This window comes from Homo sapiens, chromosome 10 (genome assembly GCF_000001405.40).
Source record: "Homo sapiens chromosome 10, GRCh38.p14 Primary Assembly".
In the NCBI taxonomy this organism is placed as follows: Eukaryota; Metazoa; Chordata; class Mammalia; order Primates; family Hominidae; genus Homo; species Homo sapiens.
In genome coordinates, this window is record NC_000010.11 from 99588222 (window position 1) to 99606199 (window position 17978).

Consider the following 17978-nt stretch of genomic DNA (forward strand, 5'->3'; position numbering starts at 1 on the left):
GGGGCATAATGTGGGGACTAAGAGGGAAGTCGCTGAAGGTTTCTGTTGAGGGCGGCAGGAGGTGAGATTGAATTGGAAAGCGGGTGAGCCTATTACGGAGGATCTTTAAGGCCTAGTAGAGGAGTTTGGACTTGATTCTGGAAGAAATAGCCACTATGAGTTTCTGAGCAGGGCAGAGACATGAGGCAAGTGATGTTTCCAGAGGAATTCATCTGGCTGCCGGGTGCAAAACAGATTGAAGGCAGGAAGAGCCTGGAGACAGGGAGACCAATATAAATCTTCCACCCAGTAATCAGATGGTGAGACATTGTGAACAGACTTTGAAAGGGGCCTTGTGAAACAGCAAAAGTAAAATGCAATGATTTCAGCTAAGCAGCAGCTGCAGAAGAAGCCTTAAACAAAATCTTTCCCCAGAATTTTTCACATGAAAGTAGCAAGCTTCCAAATAATGAAAATTGGTTCAATCTTTTTGTAAAACAGTCTGACAACTGTGGATCAAGAGCCTTAAGAATGTTCACACCCTTTGACCCAGTAATTCCACTTGTGGGAATGCTAGGGAAATAATCCAAACCAGGGAAAGGAAATAAAATGCATGGAGAACTTAATCACAACAGACTTGATAATAGCAAATAACCAGAAACAATCTCAATGTCAGCAAAAGGGGGGCGTGGTGGCTCACACCTGTAATCCCAGGACTTTGGGAGGCCAAGGTGGGCAGATCACCTGAAGTCAGTAGTTCGAGACCAGCCTGGCCAAGATGGTGAAACCCGGTCTCTGCTAAAAATGCAAGCATTAGCCAGGCATGGTGGTGCATGCCTGTAGTCCCAGCTACTTGGGGGGCCGAGGCGGGAGAATTACTTGAACCCGGCAGACAGAGGTTGCAGTGAGTCAAGTTCGCACCACTGCACTCCAGCCTCGGCAACAGAGCAAGACTCAGTCTCAAAAAGAAAAGTTAAAAAAAAAAGAAAGTTCAGCAAAAGGGGAAAGATTAAGCAAACTCTGGATCTCGATTAACTCCATTACCCAGCCATTAACTCAGAGGGGTAAGAAGACCAGACAGATGACGTGAAAAGGGCTCACAACATAATTGGAGAAAAGCAGGTTGCAAAATGCATCTGGTGTATTATCACACAACAGACACCCGTGCAGGAACAAGACCAAAAAGTAATATTCTAAATTACTCCCCATTGTTTCATTAGACTGTAGGGACTTTTCTCCTTTTAAAAATTATTTTGATAGGCCAGGTGCAGTGGCTCATGCCTATAATCCCAGCACTTTGGGAGGCTGAGGTGGGTAGGATTGCTTGAGCTCAGGAGTTCGAGAGTAGCCTGGGCAACATAGAGAAACCCTGACTCTAGAAAAAATACAAAAATTAGCTGGGCCTGGTGGCACACACCTGTAGTCCCAGCTACTTGGGAGGCTGAGATGTGAGGATCACTTGAGGTTGAGAGTTCGAGGCTACAGTGAGCTGTGATCGCACCACTTCACTCCAGCCTGGGCGAAAGATTGAGACTCCATCCCCAAAAAAAAAATTTTTTTTCCTCCAGGCCACAGATCGCTTGAGGTCAGGAGTTCAAGACCAGCCTGGGCAATATGATGAAACCCCATTTCTATCCAAAATACAAAAAAATTAGGCATGGTGGCATACACCTGTAGTCCCAGCTACTCAGGAGGCTGAGGCAGGAGGATCGCTTGAACCCGGGAGATGGAGGTTGGAGTGAGTCGAGATCACACCACTGCTCTGCTGCCTGGACAACAGAGTGAGACTCTGTCTCAAAAAAAAAAAATTTTTTTTTCTCCAATATACTTTACATTACATGTATACTTGCAATTATAGGGAATGTCAAGGAGAATTCTTACTTTTCATTCTATTCACTCTGAATTATTTTACATTTATAAGAATGTATTAAACATGCACTACTTGTATATTTTAAAAAGTAAATAATTTTTCAATGACAAAATATACTAATAAGACCAGGCATAGTGGCTCACACTTGTAATCCCAGCAGTTTGGGAAGCCAAGGTGAGAGGATCGCTGGAGCCAAGGAGTTTAAGACCAGCCTGGGCAACATGACAAAACCTTATCCCTGTGAAAAATAAAAAAGAATAGCCAGTTGTGGTGGCACATGCCTATAGTCCCAGCTACTCAGGAAGCTGAGGCAGGAGGATTGACTGAGCCCGAGAGGCCAAGGCTGTAGTGAGCCACGATTGCACCATTGCATGGGCAAGAGAGCAAGACCCTATCTCAAAAAAAAAAAAAAAAATGAGAATAAATGTAGGAAACCATGAGACATGCTCATGCCATCACCAGCACAGGTACTTACTATTTATCTTCTCGATGATGAGGTTTAAAAGAAAAAGATTTAGGCTTTGGAGCTTGTTGGGAGAGGGCTGAGTTTAATCCCACCTTAGCTGGATGACCATGGCAAGATTATCTTTGAAGTAGGGAATGATCACACATCCCTCGCATAATTTGGGGGAAATCAAGTGAGAGGATGATGAAAATCTCTTAACACAGTGTTCTGCACTTAAAAGACACACAGCAAACAGGGGCTGTAAATACGGAGAGCTATTATTTTCTCAATTCTGTTTTCTGCCTCTTGCGGTGGATAGTTGTGAGCTTCTGGAGCTGACTGTCCGAGGACAGAGGCAGAACCCTGAGCAGTGTTCTTGGCCTCAGCCACTTCATGCCGTTGCTGCAGCCACCAAGACTTTTCCCCACTGTGAACCCACCGGGCAATTCCTGCTCCTTAATCTGGCCTAGCAGTGCAGGTCCCTTTGCCAAGACCACACCTTGACTGTGGTGTACAAATGAACTGAGCGTAGACGACAAAGTTTGTTTTCAAAAGGAAGTTTTATTCTCCACATACTCAACTAGCGTGTATTTAAGAATAGTTTTATGTTTTAGACATTTAAGTTTGAACATAAAGTGGCCTTTGTTTTCTTAACTCATTTTGTTTTACCTCCCTTGACCCCAGTTTTTATGCAAGTACCAGTTTACAACCCTGCTCAAAGCTGTATAAGTCCCTTTGAAGGACAGTATATGATTCTAAAAGGTCATTGAGATGAGAAAAGAGATGAGGATAGCTAGAAGACCACCTAGAGCAAAGCAAATTAATGCCAACAATGATTTTGGGGTGCTAAATGGCACCACCAATGTTCACAACTTCCTGCTTAATAAAACTTTCACACTCAGCCGGATTGTTCTCTTCTTTTCTTTTCTTTTTTTTTTTAATGGAGTCTTGCTCCGTTGCCCAGGCTGGAGTGCAGTGGTGTGGTCTCAGCTCACTGAAACCTCCGCCTCCTGGGTTCAAGTGATTCTCCTGCCTCAGCCTCCTGAGTAGCTGGGATTACAGGCGCCCGCCACCACACCTGGCTAATTTTTTGTATTTTCAGTAGAGATGGGGTTTCACCATGTTGGCCAGGCTGGTCTCAAACTCCTGACCTTGTGATCTGCCCGCCTCCAGCTCCCAAAGTGCTGGGATTACAGGCATGAGCCACCACACCCAGCTCAGTCAGATTTTTTAAGTTTCTCAAAGACTACTTAAGTGGGAACCCATTGAAAACCTTATTAAAGACCAGAGAGATGACATTTATTGGCTCTGCATGGCCTACTCAGCCTGCAGGCTGTTGAGGGATACCTTGTATCAACTCCCTGGTATTCCCAGCATGCTGGGGAATGAGGCTCTGGGAGGGAAGAAAAGTCTTGTCTTTCTCCACCCTGGATTTTACTTTTGAAGCAAGGACATGCCCAGTCTGCAAACAGAAACATGATGTGACATCTGGACCTCAGACCCAAATGTCAGGGAAGATGAGACTGAGGGTGACCATCAGATGGGCTAACATGGTGGAGCTGGGCCATGTTCTCTTTCCCTTGGGGCTGCTGCCAGCCCCTGTGGCCCCAGCTCTTCCTTACTAACTCATGGTTTCATTCTTTTCAGCCACAGTGATGCTGTGACTTTAGTCAAAGGTAGGGCCCTGGCGTAGGTGCTGTTGTATTCACAGCACCACAGCTGCTAGATGTTTGGTGATAGTTTGATGGATAAATGAATGCCTGTATGCATGAATAAATGAATAAAATTCCTTTCCAGCCAGATAGGGTGGCTCATGCCTGTAATCCCAGCACTTTGGGAGGCTGAGGCGGGCAGATCACTTAAGGTCAGGAGTTCAAGACCAGCCTGGCCAACATGGTAAAACCCCATCTCTACAAAAAATACAAGAAAATAGCCAGGTGTGGTAGTACATGCCTGTAGTCCCAGCTACTCTGGAGGCTGAGGCAAAAAAATCGCTTGAATCCAGGAGGCAGAGGTTGCAGTGAGCTGAGATCGCGCCACTACATTCAAGCCTTGGTGACAAAGACCCTTTCCCAAAAATAATATATATATTAATATATTATTAATATATAAATATATATAATAATAAAATAAATAAAATTCCTTTCGATGAACCCTCACATTCTGACCTGTTTCTCTCTTGACATGTCTTAGCTTCAGCCGGTATATGAAAAAATTATGACTTCTCATTATTATATTTCAAATCATCTTTCCTCATTGCTGACTCTTTTTTTTTTTTTTTTTTTTTGAGACGGAGTTTTGCTCTTGTTGTCCAGGCTGGAGTGCAGTGGCGCGATCTCGGCTCACTGCAAGCTCCGCCTCCAGGGTTCAAGCGATTCTCCTGCCTCAGTCTCCCGAGTAGGTGGGATTACAGGCGCCCGCCACCACGCGCAGCTAATTTTGTGTATTTTTAGTAGAGATGGGGTTTCACCATGTTGGCCAGGCTGGTCGTGAACTCCTGACCTCAGGTGATCCACCTGTCTCTGCCTCCCAAAGTGCTGGGATTACAGGCGTGAGCCACCGCACCCAGCCTTGCTGATTTTTAATAGTTATGGCTTTAAAAGAAAAAAACTAGAATATATTTTAATACAAATAAGAAATCTGAATTATAACCATGTGGATCAGAACTGTCCAACAAACTGGAACCTCTGTGCTGACTGTATTGTGGTAAGAAAAAAAGTCTATGTTCTGAAGATAAAGAGAAAGAAAGGAAGGAAGGGATGGAGGAAGGAGAAAAGGCAGGTGAGGAGATAAAAGGATACAGAAAGAAAGGAGAGAGTTTGAGAAAGAAACTGAGTTCTGGTTCTGTGTCTCTGACTTGGCCGCTCATGGCTTTGTAACCTTGAGCCTCACTTTCCCTGTTGTAAATGAGAGGTTGGACGGGATCTGAAGTTCTCAGGCTTTCTGAGTGAATCAGAATCCCTTGGATGCGGCTACTAATTGTGCACATTCCTGAGCCCCACCCCTTTTGGACTTTGACCCCGTGCTGGGGCCCTGGGAATCTTCATGTTTAATAAGCCTCTTTTTTTCTTTTTCTTTTTTCTTTTCTTTTTTTTTTTTTTTTTGATAACAGGGTCTTGCTCTGTTGCTCAGGCTAGAGTGCAGTGGCATGCATGATCACAGCTCACTGCAGTCTCGAACTCTGGGGCCCAAGTGATCCTCCCACCTCAGCCTCCTGAGTAGCTGGGATGACAGGCATGTGCTACCATGCCTGGCTATTTTTATGTATTTTTGGTATTTTATGTTGCCCAGGCTAGTCTGGAACTCCTCAGCTCAAGTGATGCACTTGTGCCGGCCTCCTAAAGTACTGGGATTACAGACATGAGCTACTGTGCCCAGACAACAAGCTTCTTCTTGACCCAGCTGCAGAAGAAGCCAGAGCTCACGCTGAGAACACAGGAGCGGATGGCCCAGAGAGGCTGTGGCTCTGACTCCTCAGGGATGAGACTTTTGATCTGGGAGTTATACCATTTTCCCTAACTCTTGAAATAACAGTAAACCACTTTGGGGGCCATTTTAGCTCTGGTTTAGATGGGAATGACTCATGACTAAGTGCTGAAGGCAAGGGGAATTGTACGTTAGCATCTTAGAAACTAGCGGACTCTCTCAGGGTAGCCTTTGCCTTAGGTTGTTAGAACCTGCTAAATGGGATGGGATTAATCCCTGGCTGTTCCTACCTATATGGAGGTGGATACGACGGTATTTCCTATCATCTGTGGGTGATTGGTGCTTTTTCTAGACGCTGTCCCATGCATGAGCTCATCTGAGCCTCAAGGTGTAGGCTATTACCTCGTTTCACAGATGCGGAACCTGAGATGTGGAGGCTTCTTGCCAGAGTATTCGCTGCTCTTTATTGGCAAACACAGGAAAAGAGCGCCGATCTCCTTTTTCCCAGTGTGCCATGTGGCGGATAACTACATATTTCTTAAACTAAGGGACAGAGGAGTTATTAACAATAAGTTTCCAAAACTTCTTACTTTTCCAGAGCAATGATAAAGTTCCAGTGAAGACTGAGGTTACTACTCTAATGATATTAATGATAAAAATTATTAGAAGCCCTCGAGGTACAGTCCATGCAATCCAGCCTTATGGTGAGGGGGCACATGCATATATAATATATATTTGCATACATGTGCTTTGGATAAATTATGAAAGAGGATATACAGGGGCCAGGTACGGTGGCTCACGCCTGTAATCCCAGCACTTTGGGAGGCTGAGTCGGGCAGATCATGAGGTCAGGAGTTCGAGACCAGCCTGACCAACATAGTTAAACCCCATCTCAAAAAAAATAAAAATATTAGCTGGGCGCAGTGGTGCATGCCTATAATCCCAGCTACTCGGGAGGCTGAGGCAGGAGAATCACTTGAACCTGGGAAGTGAAGGTTGCAGTGAACCAAGATTGTGCCACTGCACTCCAGCGAAAAAGTGCGACTCCATCTCAAAAAAAAAAGAAAAGAAAGAAGATATACAAAATAATAACAGTGATTATACATAGTAGAATTATAGATTTTTATTTTCTTCTTTAGCTTTTTACATGTTGATTATATTCATTATAATTTCTATGTGTCATTATTCCTTTTTTTTTTTTTTTGAGACAGAGCCTTGCTCTGTCACCCAGGCTGGAGTCTGGAGTGCAGTGGCAAAATTGCAGCTCACTGCAATCTCCGCTTCCCAGGTTCAAGCGATTCTCCTGCCTCAGCCTCCCGAGTAGCTGGGACTGCAGCCATGCACCACTATGCCTGGCTAATTTTTGTATTTTTGGTAGAAACAGGGTTTCAGCATGTTGGCCAGGCTGGTCTCAAATCCCTGGCCTCAAGTGATTCACCCACCTTGGCCTCCCAGGAGGATCACAGGTGTGAGCCACCACACCCAGCCCGGATTTGATTCTTTAACCAGCTGAGTAGGTGTTATTTTATTATCCCCATTTAACAAAGGAAGTAACTTCCCTAAGTCACACCACACCTTTTATAAGAGGTGGACTTTGACACAAGCCCACATCTCCCAACTGCTTTGATATTTCTTTCCATTCTGAGACCCCATGTTTGTTAGCTTGTTTGAGTGAATGAGTGAGCTCTGAGCCTTCCCTCAACACACACACACCTCTACAGTCCTGTACTCATGTCCCCTTCCTTGCTATTTCCTCTGTGTGGCCTCTGCCAAGCACAACCCCGAACGCTTATGTGGGAAGGAACCCAGAAGGGGGTCTTTACCCAGTACTCAGTCTTTGCAGAGCTGGGAGCAGCCTGCTGCCCCCACAGGGTAAGATGATTTCTTTCACGCTGCATTAGCCTATGAGACAGGCGTTCTGGCATGCTGTTCCAGGAATCCTCATGAAAGGCCTGAAGGGGTAGGGGGAAGCAGGTATTCATTGCAAAGCATGAGGTTGAGCTGCTCTTTCCACCTGGAGGGTGATCTGAGCTCAGCCCACTGCACTGCAACTGGACACCAGGCAGCAACTGGCAGGGAGGTCCTGGAAGAGCTGGTGACACTGATGCTGTGTCATGCTCCTCAGAGGACACGACCCTGCCCTGCCCAGGGATTATAAATGGCTCTCCCGGGTATTGTTGGGTTTCTTTCCTTTCTACAATGAACTAACAGTCTCTGGACCACAGAACTATGGAGTATTTGAGTCATGGGAGGAGAGGAATAGTGTTGGGCAAAGAGACTGGTGGGAAAGAGGGGGACCCGGGCATGTACCCGGGCTGATGGGTGTGCACTGTGGGACCTGGACCTGCCACATGACTCCTCTAGGCCTGCTTCCTTCCTTACCAGATGGCCATGAGCTTCACAATTTTAATGACACCTACCTTGCAGCATTGTTTTAAGGCTTAAATTGGTTTACTTGCTCAACAAATTACTTATTAAGTACCTATTGTGTTCCAGGTCTTGTTCTTGGTGCTGGAGAACAGAAAAAGTCCCAGTCCTCATTTGGGGGAGACGGATGATAAACAAACATATAAAAAACTTCAGACAGCGGTAAGTGCAATAAGAGAAATAAAGCGGAATGAAAGGGATAGAGTGGTAGGGGAGGCTATTTTAGATAAGGAATTTGGGGAAGATCTCTTTGGGGAGGTGAGACTGAAACCAAGACCAGGAAGAAGTGAGCGAGTGAGCCAGGCCAAGCTCAGTAGCTCACGCCTGTAATCCCAGCACTTTGGGAGACCAAGGCAGGAGGATCACTTAAGTCCAGGAGCTTGAGACCAGCCTGGGCAACATAAGGGAGACCTCATTTCTACAAAACCATTTTTAAAAAATTAGCTGGGCATGATGTTTGCACCTGTAGTCACAGCTACTTGGGAGGCTGAGGTAGGAGGATCACTTGAGCCAGGGCAGTCGAAGCTGCAGTGAGCTGTGATTGCGTCATTGTGCTGCAGCCTAGGTGACAAAGCAACACCCTTTCTCAAAAACATATGTATAGGCCGGGCACGGTGGCTCATGCCTATAATCCCAGCACTTTGGGAGGCCAAGGCAGGTGGATCATGAGGTCAGGAGTTTGAGACCATCCTGACCAACATGGTGAAAACCTGTCTCTACTAAAAATACAAAAATTAGCCAGGTGTGGTGGTGCACACCTATAATCCCAGCTACTCAGGAGGCTGAGGCAGGAGAATTGCTTGAACCCAGCAGGCGGAGGCTGCAGTGAGCCCAGATCAGACCACTGCACTCCAGCCTGGGCGACAGAGCGAGACTCTGTCTCAAAACAAAACAAAACAAAACAAACAAACAAACAAAAAATGTATAAACAGGCCAGTTGCAGTGGCTCATGCCTGTAATCTCAGCACTTTGGGAGGCAGGTGGATCACTCGAGGTCAGGAGTTTGAGACCAGCCTGCCCAACATGGCGAAACCCTGTCTCTACAAAAAATGTAAAAATTAGCCGGACATGGTAGTGTGCACCTGTAGTCCCAGCTAGTCAGGAGGCTGAGGCATGAGAACTGCTTGAACCCAGGAGATGGAGGTTGCAGTGAGCCAAGATTGTGTCACTGCACTCCAGCCTGGGCAACGGAGCGAGACCCTGTCTCAAAAAATACATCTATCTAAAAGTAAAATAAATAAAAGATAAAGAGAGAGTGAGCCAGGTGGTATCTGGGGAAGAGCGTTCCTTGCAGAGGGAACAGCAAGTGCAGCAGGGTAGGATCACACGAGACAATGGATATGACAGCCCTGGGCTGTCATGTAAACACAAGGACCCTCCAAGCCGGCCACTCCTCACTGGCCTCCTGAACCTCTGACAGCTAGCAAAGAAGTGACCAATTACAAAAACCTAAGTATTACACTTTACATTTCCAAAGGTCCTGGGTCCCCTCCCGTGAGCACCACTCCAGGAACAGGCAGAAAGAGAATGGAAACAACTTTCCTCATGCCTCTATTACAGCACTTACGTCTCATGATCTCTTTACAAATCAGTCTCACCCCTGGGACTGGGCTCCTGCAGGCAGGACTGCTTCTCACTTCTTAGGGACCCTGAGGGGCACTGGCGAGCCACACTACCTTTGGAATCCTGCGTTGGAACGCTTGTTCTGTCATGTTCTTGCTGTGTGAGTTCAGGCATGGTTTTTTTTTTGCCTTTCTGAGCCTGAGCTTCCTCATCTGTAAGATGGGGGCATTTTTATAGCTAATTCCCAGAACTGTTTTGAGAATCAACTGGGCCCAGCATACTGTAAGTGCAAAAGTGTAGGTAAATTATTGTCATTGCTCACATTCTGAATGCCTGACAGTAAGTGCTCAAAAAATTTGGTAGAATAGAACTCAAGAGTAAGAAAATCCTCCAGGAAGAATTTCATGTTTAGAGCTGCTGCTATTTCGAGGGGATGTGCTTACCCTGCAAGTACCCAGGGAAGGATATAGTCATCTGTCTGAGAACACCTGTGAGACACGACATTGACTCAAGTTCCTAATCTGATCCCTTGCTCCAGAGCCTGTTTTGATGTCCTGTTCTTAGGTAGAAACCTTGTCAAACCATTAACATGATATGAACAGTTACAGTGTCTGATCTTCACTGGAAGCTAAGAAGTAGCATTCACTCCCCCACATATCTTTGGATGTCTTCCTGCTCCCACTAGCCTCCTCTGGAGCCATGTATGGGCCTTTCACTCACCCCACCCTGCCCCTGGCACTGTGTTGTAGCCACCTCTGAGATTTGTGGAAAGCAGTCTTAGAATAAGGTGAGCTAGGCAGAAGATAAAGCAGGAATCTCAGGATTTAGCCTTAAGTTCTCACGTCCTGGAGATGAGACCTGCAAGGACCATCTTGGCAATGTAATTGTGTGGGTTGGAAAAATGGAAAGAAGCAGCTCATCATCCTGGATAAGGGAGGATTTGCGGAAAAGGGAAAGAAGCGCTTGGTGCTTGGATTCTGACAGTAGGCTGATGGCTGGAGGCGGCTGGGCAGTGGAAGTGGATTCCCAGCGGCTGGCAGGAGTATGTGGCAGACAGGGCTGAGGAAGCTGTCTCCCCGGGGATAGCCTCCTTGCTTGCTCAGATTCCAAGTGACCGTCAGCATTTTGTTTGCTTTCCTGAGACCCAGCCCTGGCATGAAGAAATAATGGTGACCTTGAGACCCTCAACAAGCTGAATTACTAAACTTTGGTAAATCAATGCCAGGAATTGAGAGTGTTTAGCTCAAGTGGGCAGCAGACCTAGGCCAAAATGGCATTACAAAAACATGGAGGTCACTGTTAACACTGTGCACATGAAGTCAAAGTGGAAGTAAGCTATTAAGATCTTAGTATGAGTCAAAAAGGGCCGGCTGACAGTCCTTGGCTATATGACTGGGAGCAAGTGCCTTAACCTTTCTCAACATCAGTTTTCTCATCTATAAAACAGGAATAATAATTCCTGCCACATCTGACTCATAGGGTTCTCATGAGACTCAACATTTGAGCAAATTTAGAGCACATGATATCAAGTGATAGTACATGACTTCCTTTATGTTTCCCGCAGAGAGTGGTTGTGAGGCTCACCTGAGCAGCTACCTGCAATGATCAGCACATAATAGATGTGCAAGAATTATAATTCAATTGTTGCTTGTAAAAATGCTACACGTGAAAATGCAATATAAGTGCACAGAGTATTATAAAGTGTCAATTCTTATTTTCATCTTTTATTCATCTGCTAGCAGATAGGATTAATACACGATCCCACAGTCACCTGTCCAGCCAGGTAAATTTTTCCATCCCTGGTCCCAGGGGACCTCAGTAACTTCTTGCCATCCTCCTTACTCCTCAAGTCAGCCCCACACACGATCTCTTCCTCCTGAAGAACAATGCCTCTTACAGGCACAGGACTCCAGTCCCCTCCAATTTGGTCTTTGAAGCAAGACCTCCCTTTTCTGCTCTCAGGATCAAGCCGCCTCTCCTCCATACCTCCGCTTCTTCCTTGAGCCATGACTGCCAGATGGAGTGCCCTTGTCTCACCTCTCTTCTTTTTTCAGGCTCAACTCTTCTTCAAAATTCATACCCCTTCCTCTGGGAGCTTCCTCTGATTTACCCCACCCCACAGATCACTCAGCTAGTGTGGGCTCGGTTTGTGTTGTACAATTTGGCTTTTGCTGACGCTTGATTTTCTAAACGTTCTTTCAGCCCTGTGGCAGGGACTGCATCTTCTTCTGTCTTCACCTGTGCCTAGTGGAATATACTGTTTAAAGGAGGCAATCCAGGGAGAATATTCCTTGACCAAGTGTCCCTCACCTTATTGTTTGCCTTCCTAGGCCCCTCTCTAGCAGCAGAAGCTCCCCAAGGAGCAGTGCCACCCTTCAATGAAAAATCTTGCTTTAGATGTCAGTGGGGGTCCCTACCTCCCACCATACCCAGGGAAAGCTTTCAGTTAGTGCCTGCAGGGGACTAATTCTTCATGACTCACGGCTTTTCTATTCAGGTATAATTGCTCTTGTTCTCCAATTTGGCAGGGGCCTTGCAGCCAAAAGAAACCTGTGCAGGGAGTAAATCAGAGCATTGGGTCAGTTATCTTTGCAATGAACTGGGGTTTTTCTTCTAGTTTCTTTTTCTTTTTCTGTCTTTCTTTCTTCCTCTTTTTTTTTTTTTTTGAGACAGAGTCTTGCTCTGTCACCCAGCCTGGAGTGCAGTGGCGCAATCTCGGCTCACTGCAACCTCTGCCTCCTGGGTTCAAGCGATTCTCCTGCCTCAGCCTCCCGAGTAGCTGGGATTACAGGTGTGTGCCACCACGCCTGGATAATTTTTGTATTTTTAGTAGGGACAGGGTTTCACCACATTGGTCAGGCTGGTCTCGAACTCCCCACCTCAGGTGATCCGCCCGCCTCGGCCTCCCAAAGTGCTGGGATTACAGGTGTGAGCCACCACGTGCCCAGCCTAGTTTATTTTTCTTTTCTTTTTTTTTTTTGAGATGGAGTCTTGCTCTGTGCCCTAGCTGGAGTGTGGCAGTGTGATCTTGGCTCACTGCAACCTCCGCCTCCGAGGTTCAAGCAGTTCTCTGCCTCAGCATCCTCAGTAGCTGGGATTACAGGCACCCGCCACTATGCCCAGCTACTTTTTTTGCATTTTTAGTAGAGACAGGATTTCACCATCTTGGCCAAGCTTGTCTTGAACTCCTGACCTTGTGATCCACCTGCCTCGGCCTCCCAAAATGCTGGGATTACAGGCGTGAGCCACCGCGCCTGGCCTAGTTTATTTTTCTATGTATGCCTATAGACAGATGCCCAGGCTGTGTCCCCACCCCCACCATGGTGTGGTTCTAGGCATGCCCTGGGAGGACCAGAATCTAAGACGTCTGAGCTGATGTCACTGGTGGGGAAATGCTTAGAAAGAAAGAGCAATCCTGAGTTTGCTTCAAGGTACAGATTTGCTCCCACATTTCTCTTCCATTTTCCTTTGGTTTCTGTTCCCTCTGCATTTATGTGCATGCTCAGCAGTGGACATATAAGATAAAGAAGATCCTGTCTGTCCTGAGAGTCTCACAGTCTGGCAGAACTTCCTACCCCACTAGTGGGAAGCCTCTTAGAGGGTCCCTGGATTCCTGCTCTTCTCTATTGTGCTCCTAAATTTTGAGGTTAAAGATCATTTTAAGAATCTTATGGATTCTCTACCCTTGCTCCAAAGGCAGACATATTCAATATTTTGCATAAAACTCCGAGGGGTTTATAGACCCGGTAAAGCCCATCCACAAAATCCACAAGCTCCACTAAAAAAAAAGTCAACAAGGATGAGAAGGGGGAAGAAACTTAGAATGGAATACAAATAGAAACAAATGCATCCTTTTGTAGCCCGTGAACATGATGATTTGGGTTTTCACACACATGTGAGATGTGCCTCCTTCAAACCTTAAGACATCAGCATGTTACCTGACGTGAAAAAAAAGGAATGAACTTAACTCATTTTAAATAACTCTATTTTAAACAAATAATATTGCGATGCTGAAGGGAGGATAAAAACCAAATAAACAAGCCCAACAAATATTTAATTCTAGTTAGAAGGAGTTTTTTCTGTAGTGATATGGGTGAGCAATTCTGAAATACCTTTTGTGTGCTGTAGAGTTGCACAAATGAGTAAATGTACTGAGGATATTGGAAGCTAGTTCTTGCTGTTGGAGAGGAGAGTTATAAATATGGAGAAAGGGAGGACTAAAATGAATTTTGTGGTGTTGAGTTGGAACTGGAGGTATCTATATGAATCCATGATTTTGTGTGTGTGTGTGTGTGTCTGTGTGTACAGATGTAGAAATTAAGATAAAATATGTATATTTCTTAGCTCTGTGGGCTAAAGGGCCTAGAAGTAGACACTACAGTAGCATTGAGTATACCTGGCACTTGGATCTTGGTTTCTAAATACCATTTCGTACTAAAAAAAAAAAAAAAAAAAAAAAACTAGGGCTCCTTGGAGAAATGACTAATTCTAGGACTGAGAGGGGGAAAGTACAAGATAAGCTTAGAATATCGTGTTGTGCCAGAAAGCAAGGAAGTGCTTTTTAAAAAATGGAGATATAGAAAAAGAACACAGGAATCAGAAGGGACCCCCATTGGCCAAATCTGGGAGTATTCGAACATCAGCATAAATAATGGTAATTATTTATTATCATCACAGTGGTATTACAGCACAATATTACAGTGGTAATATCACTATAGAATAGCCATAGAATAAAATAATCTATGAGCTCATACGAATATAAATAAATAAAAGAGAAGGGATAGCTCTCTCTTATAGCAGAAATGATAACATCAGAATATCATCTTTGTGCAACCATGATTTAGACAGGAATTATCAATGGATGCTAAAACTAGTGGATAGAAGTTTGATAAAGAAGAGGATATGTACATAGATTCAGAGCACCCCCATGAAAATAACTTATTGATTACAAAGGGAAAATTAGTAACTCCATGGTGAGTTCCTCTGATGAACACAACCATAACCATTTAATCACAGTTAACAATACCAATAAAGGGATGCACTGACCTCACTGCCTTGAAAAGGACTCCATATCATTTCTATGGTACACCTGCCAAAACTATAACCTTAATCTAATTATGAGGTAGCATCAAACAAACCAAACTGAAGGGCATTCTACATAACAACTGGCCTGTAATCTAAAAACAAACAAAAAAGCAAGTTCATGAAAGATAAGGGAAGGCTGAGAACCTGATCTAGATGAAAGAAGATTAAAGAGATATGAACAGTAAATGCAATGTGTGATCCTGAATTGGATGCTGGATCAGAAAAAAACCAGCTATGAAGGACATTATTGGAGCAATTGGTGAAATTTAAATATAAACTATAGCTCAGATAAGCATTTTGTATCAATGTTACAAATTCCCTGATTTCCATAAATGTGTTGGGGTTATGTAAGAGAAAATTCTTTTTTTTTTTTTTTTTTTTTTTTTTTTTTTTTTTTTTTTTTGAGACGGAGTCTCGCTCTGTCACCAACGCTGGATGGAGTGCAGTGGCGCGATCTCAGCTCACTGCAAGCTCCACCTCCCGGGTTCACGCCATTCTCCTACCTCAGTCTCGCGAGTAGCTGGGACTACAGGCGCCCGCCACCACGCCCGGCTGATTGTTTTGTATTTTTAGTAGAGATAGGTTTCACCGCGTTAACCAGAATGGTCTCGATCTCCTGACCTCGTGATCCGGCCGCCTCGGCCTCCCAAAGTGCTGGGATTACAGGCGTGAGCCACCACGCCTGGCCGAGAAAATTCTTGTTCTTAGGAAATACTGACATATTTATGGATAAAGGGGGCATAAATAGTTCAGAAAAAATATGTGTATGCACATATATGGATTGATAGAAAGACAATAGATCAAATGGGGCAAAATTATAGCAATTAGTGAATCTGGTAAAGAATATACTGTTTTTGCAACTTTTCTGTAAAAGTGTGAAATTATATAAAAATTAAAAAGTAGATAAAAAGAGTATTTGCTCTAAGCTGGAGCCCTTTTTTTTTGGAGACAGAGTCTCGCTCTGTCATGCAGTGGTGGCATGGTGTGCAGTGGTGCGACCTTGGCTTAATGCAACCTCCTGGGGTCAAGAGATTCTCATGCCTCAGCATCCTGAGTAGCTGGGACTACAGGCATGTGCCACCATGCCCGGCTAATTTTCATATTTTAGTAGAGAAGGGGTTTCACTATGTTGGCCAGGCTGGTCTCAAACTTCTGACCTCAGGTGATCCGCCCACCTCAGCCTCACAAAGCGCTGGGATTACAGGCACAATCCTACCATGCCCAGCTAAGCTGGAACTCTTTTTTTTTTTTTTTCTTTTTTTTGAGATGGAGTCTTGCTCTGTCGCCCAGGCTGGAGTGCAGTGGCTCGATCTCTGCTGACTGCAAGCTCCGCCTCCTAGGTTCACGCCATTCTCCTGCCTCAGCCTCCCGAGTAGCTGGGACTACAGGCACCCACCACCACGCCCGGCTAATTTTTTTTTTTTTTTTTGTATTTTTAGTAGAGACGGGGTTTCACCATGTTAGCCAGGATGGTCTCGATCTCCTGACCTCGTGATCTGCCCGCCTCGGCCTCCCAAAATGCTGGGATTACAGGCGTGAGCCACTGCACCTGGCCGCTAAGCTGGAACTCTCATACATTGCTGGAGGGAATTCAAATTGCTACGACCTCTTTGGAACTTCGGTAATGTCTTCCAAGGCTAAACACATATATCCCTGTCACCCAGCAAGTTTGCTTTCATATTTAACCAATGGAAAAGAGTGCTTCTTTCCGCTAAAGGACAGGTACAAGAATGTTTATAGCAGTAAAAACTGGAAATAGTGGAACACTGGAAGCAACCTGTGATGGTTAATTTTATGTATACTTGGCTAGGCAATGGTGCCTAGTTGTTTGGTCAAATATTAGTCTGGATGTTATTGTGAAATATTTTATAGAGGTGATTAACATTTACAATCAACTAACTTTAGGTAAAAGGAATTATCCATAATGGCCGCATCCAATCTGTTGAAGGCCTTAAAAGCAAAAACTGAGGTTTCCCAGAGAAGAAGGAATTCTGCCTTAAGACTATGACATAGAAACTCTGCCTGAGTTTCCAGCCTCCTGCTCTACAGAACAGCAGGACTTTTGGACTTGCCAGCCCCCACAACCATGTGAGTCAATTTCTTCAAAAAAAAAAAAAAAAAATCCCTCCTCTTTCTCTCTCATACATGCATATAATTGGTTATATATAACATATATAATTGGTTCTGTTTCTCTGGAGAACCATGACAAATATATAACCCAAATATGTTTGGGTTGTGTATTAGTCAATGAGAGAATGCATACATAAAATGCATAAATACTCAAACTACACAGCAATGGAAAAGAACAAATTGCTATATTCACACACATAGATGAATCTTACAGACATAATGTTGAGCCAGACACAAAAGAATATATACTGTATGAATTAATGTTTACAAAGTTCAGGAACAAGCAAGACTAAGCTATAATGACAGAAATCAGAATATTGGTTACCTTTGAGGGATGATATTAACTATGAGGGGACACAAAGGAGTCTTCTGTGGTTTTGGAACTGTTGTGTGTCAGCGTGGTAGTTACGCAAGAGCAAATATATGTGAAATTTCATCCAGCTGTGCATTTTATGTGTGTTGTTTTTTAAAGAGGTTAAAAAAGAGTACTTACTTTAAATGCTAACTTTCTCCATCCCCTCTATGGCTAAGCTGTAACCTCTATACTGTATATTTCTATATCCATATTGCAGATCCTGAAAATCTACTCAGGCCCCAAATACATGTTCATAATTATATTTCTTATGCCTATCCAAAAAACTGGTTTTCCTTTTAAAATTTGCAAGCCATCCAAGAATCCTCCTTCTCTGTAACCCCGAGTACATCTGATGGCCAAGTGCAGTTGATCAGCTTCCTAAATATCCCTCCACTTTGTCTCTTCCTCTCCTTCCCATCACTGCCTTTGTTTAGGCACCATAATTTCTGCTTGAGTTGCATCATCACCTAGGTGACAACAACACCTAAATTAGTGTTTAAATAACTGAGGACTGTAGCTTTGCCCTACTGATGCATAAAACTGACCATCACATAGGCCTAGCCTCTACTCCAGTGCCCCCATCTGCTCAATCTATGTTTGTGAAATGAAATGGCTCATTTCTAACCCCAGTACCATCATGTTCCAGACAAGTCTTGGTGTCTGACCATGGGAAGCAAGTAGTTATCGTGCATCCATTA

At 44.5% G+C, this 17978-nt stretch overlaps 1 non-coding gene across 1 annotated transcript, besides 1 other annotated feature; it reads left to right on the plus strand.

Annotated features, from left to right (window-relative positions):
* Positions 7545-8045: an enhancer, noted in NCBI's record as "H3K27ac hESC enhancer chr10:101355523-101356023 (GRCh37/hg19 assembly coordinates)". NCBI's record gives its function as "activates a minimal SCP1, AML or CMV promoter by ChIP-STARR-seq in naive and primed H9 embryonic stem cells {active_cell/tissue: H9 hESC(naive and primed)}" and the evidence as "EXISTENCE:reporter gene assay evidence [ECO:0000049][PMID:30033119]".
* Positions 13559-13659, plus strand: LOC124902589 (small nucleolar RNA U13). Its single transcript, XR_007062422.1, has one exon. It is a non-coding gene; the product is annotated as a small nucleolar RNA U13 (small nucleolar RNA).
* Positions 13660-17978: the final 4319 nt, after the last annotated feature.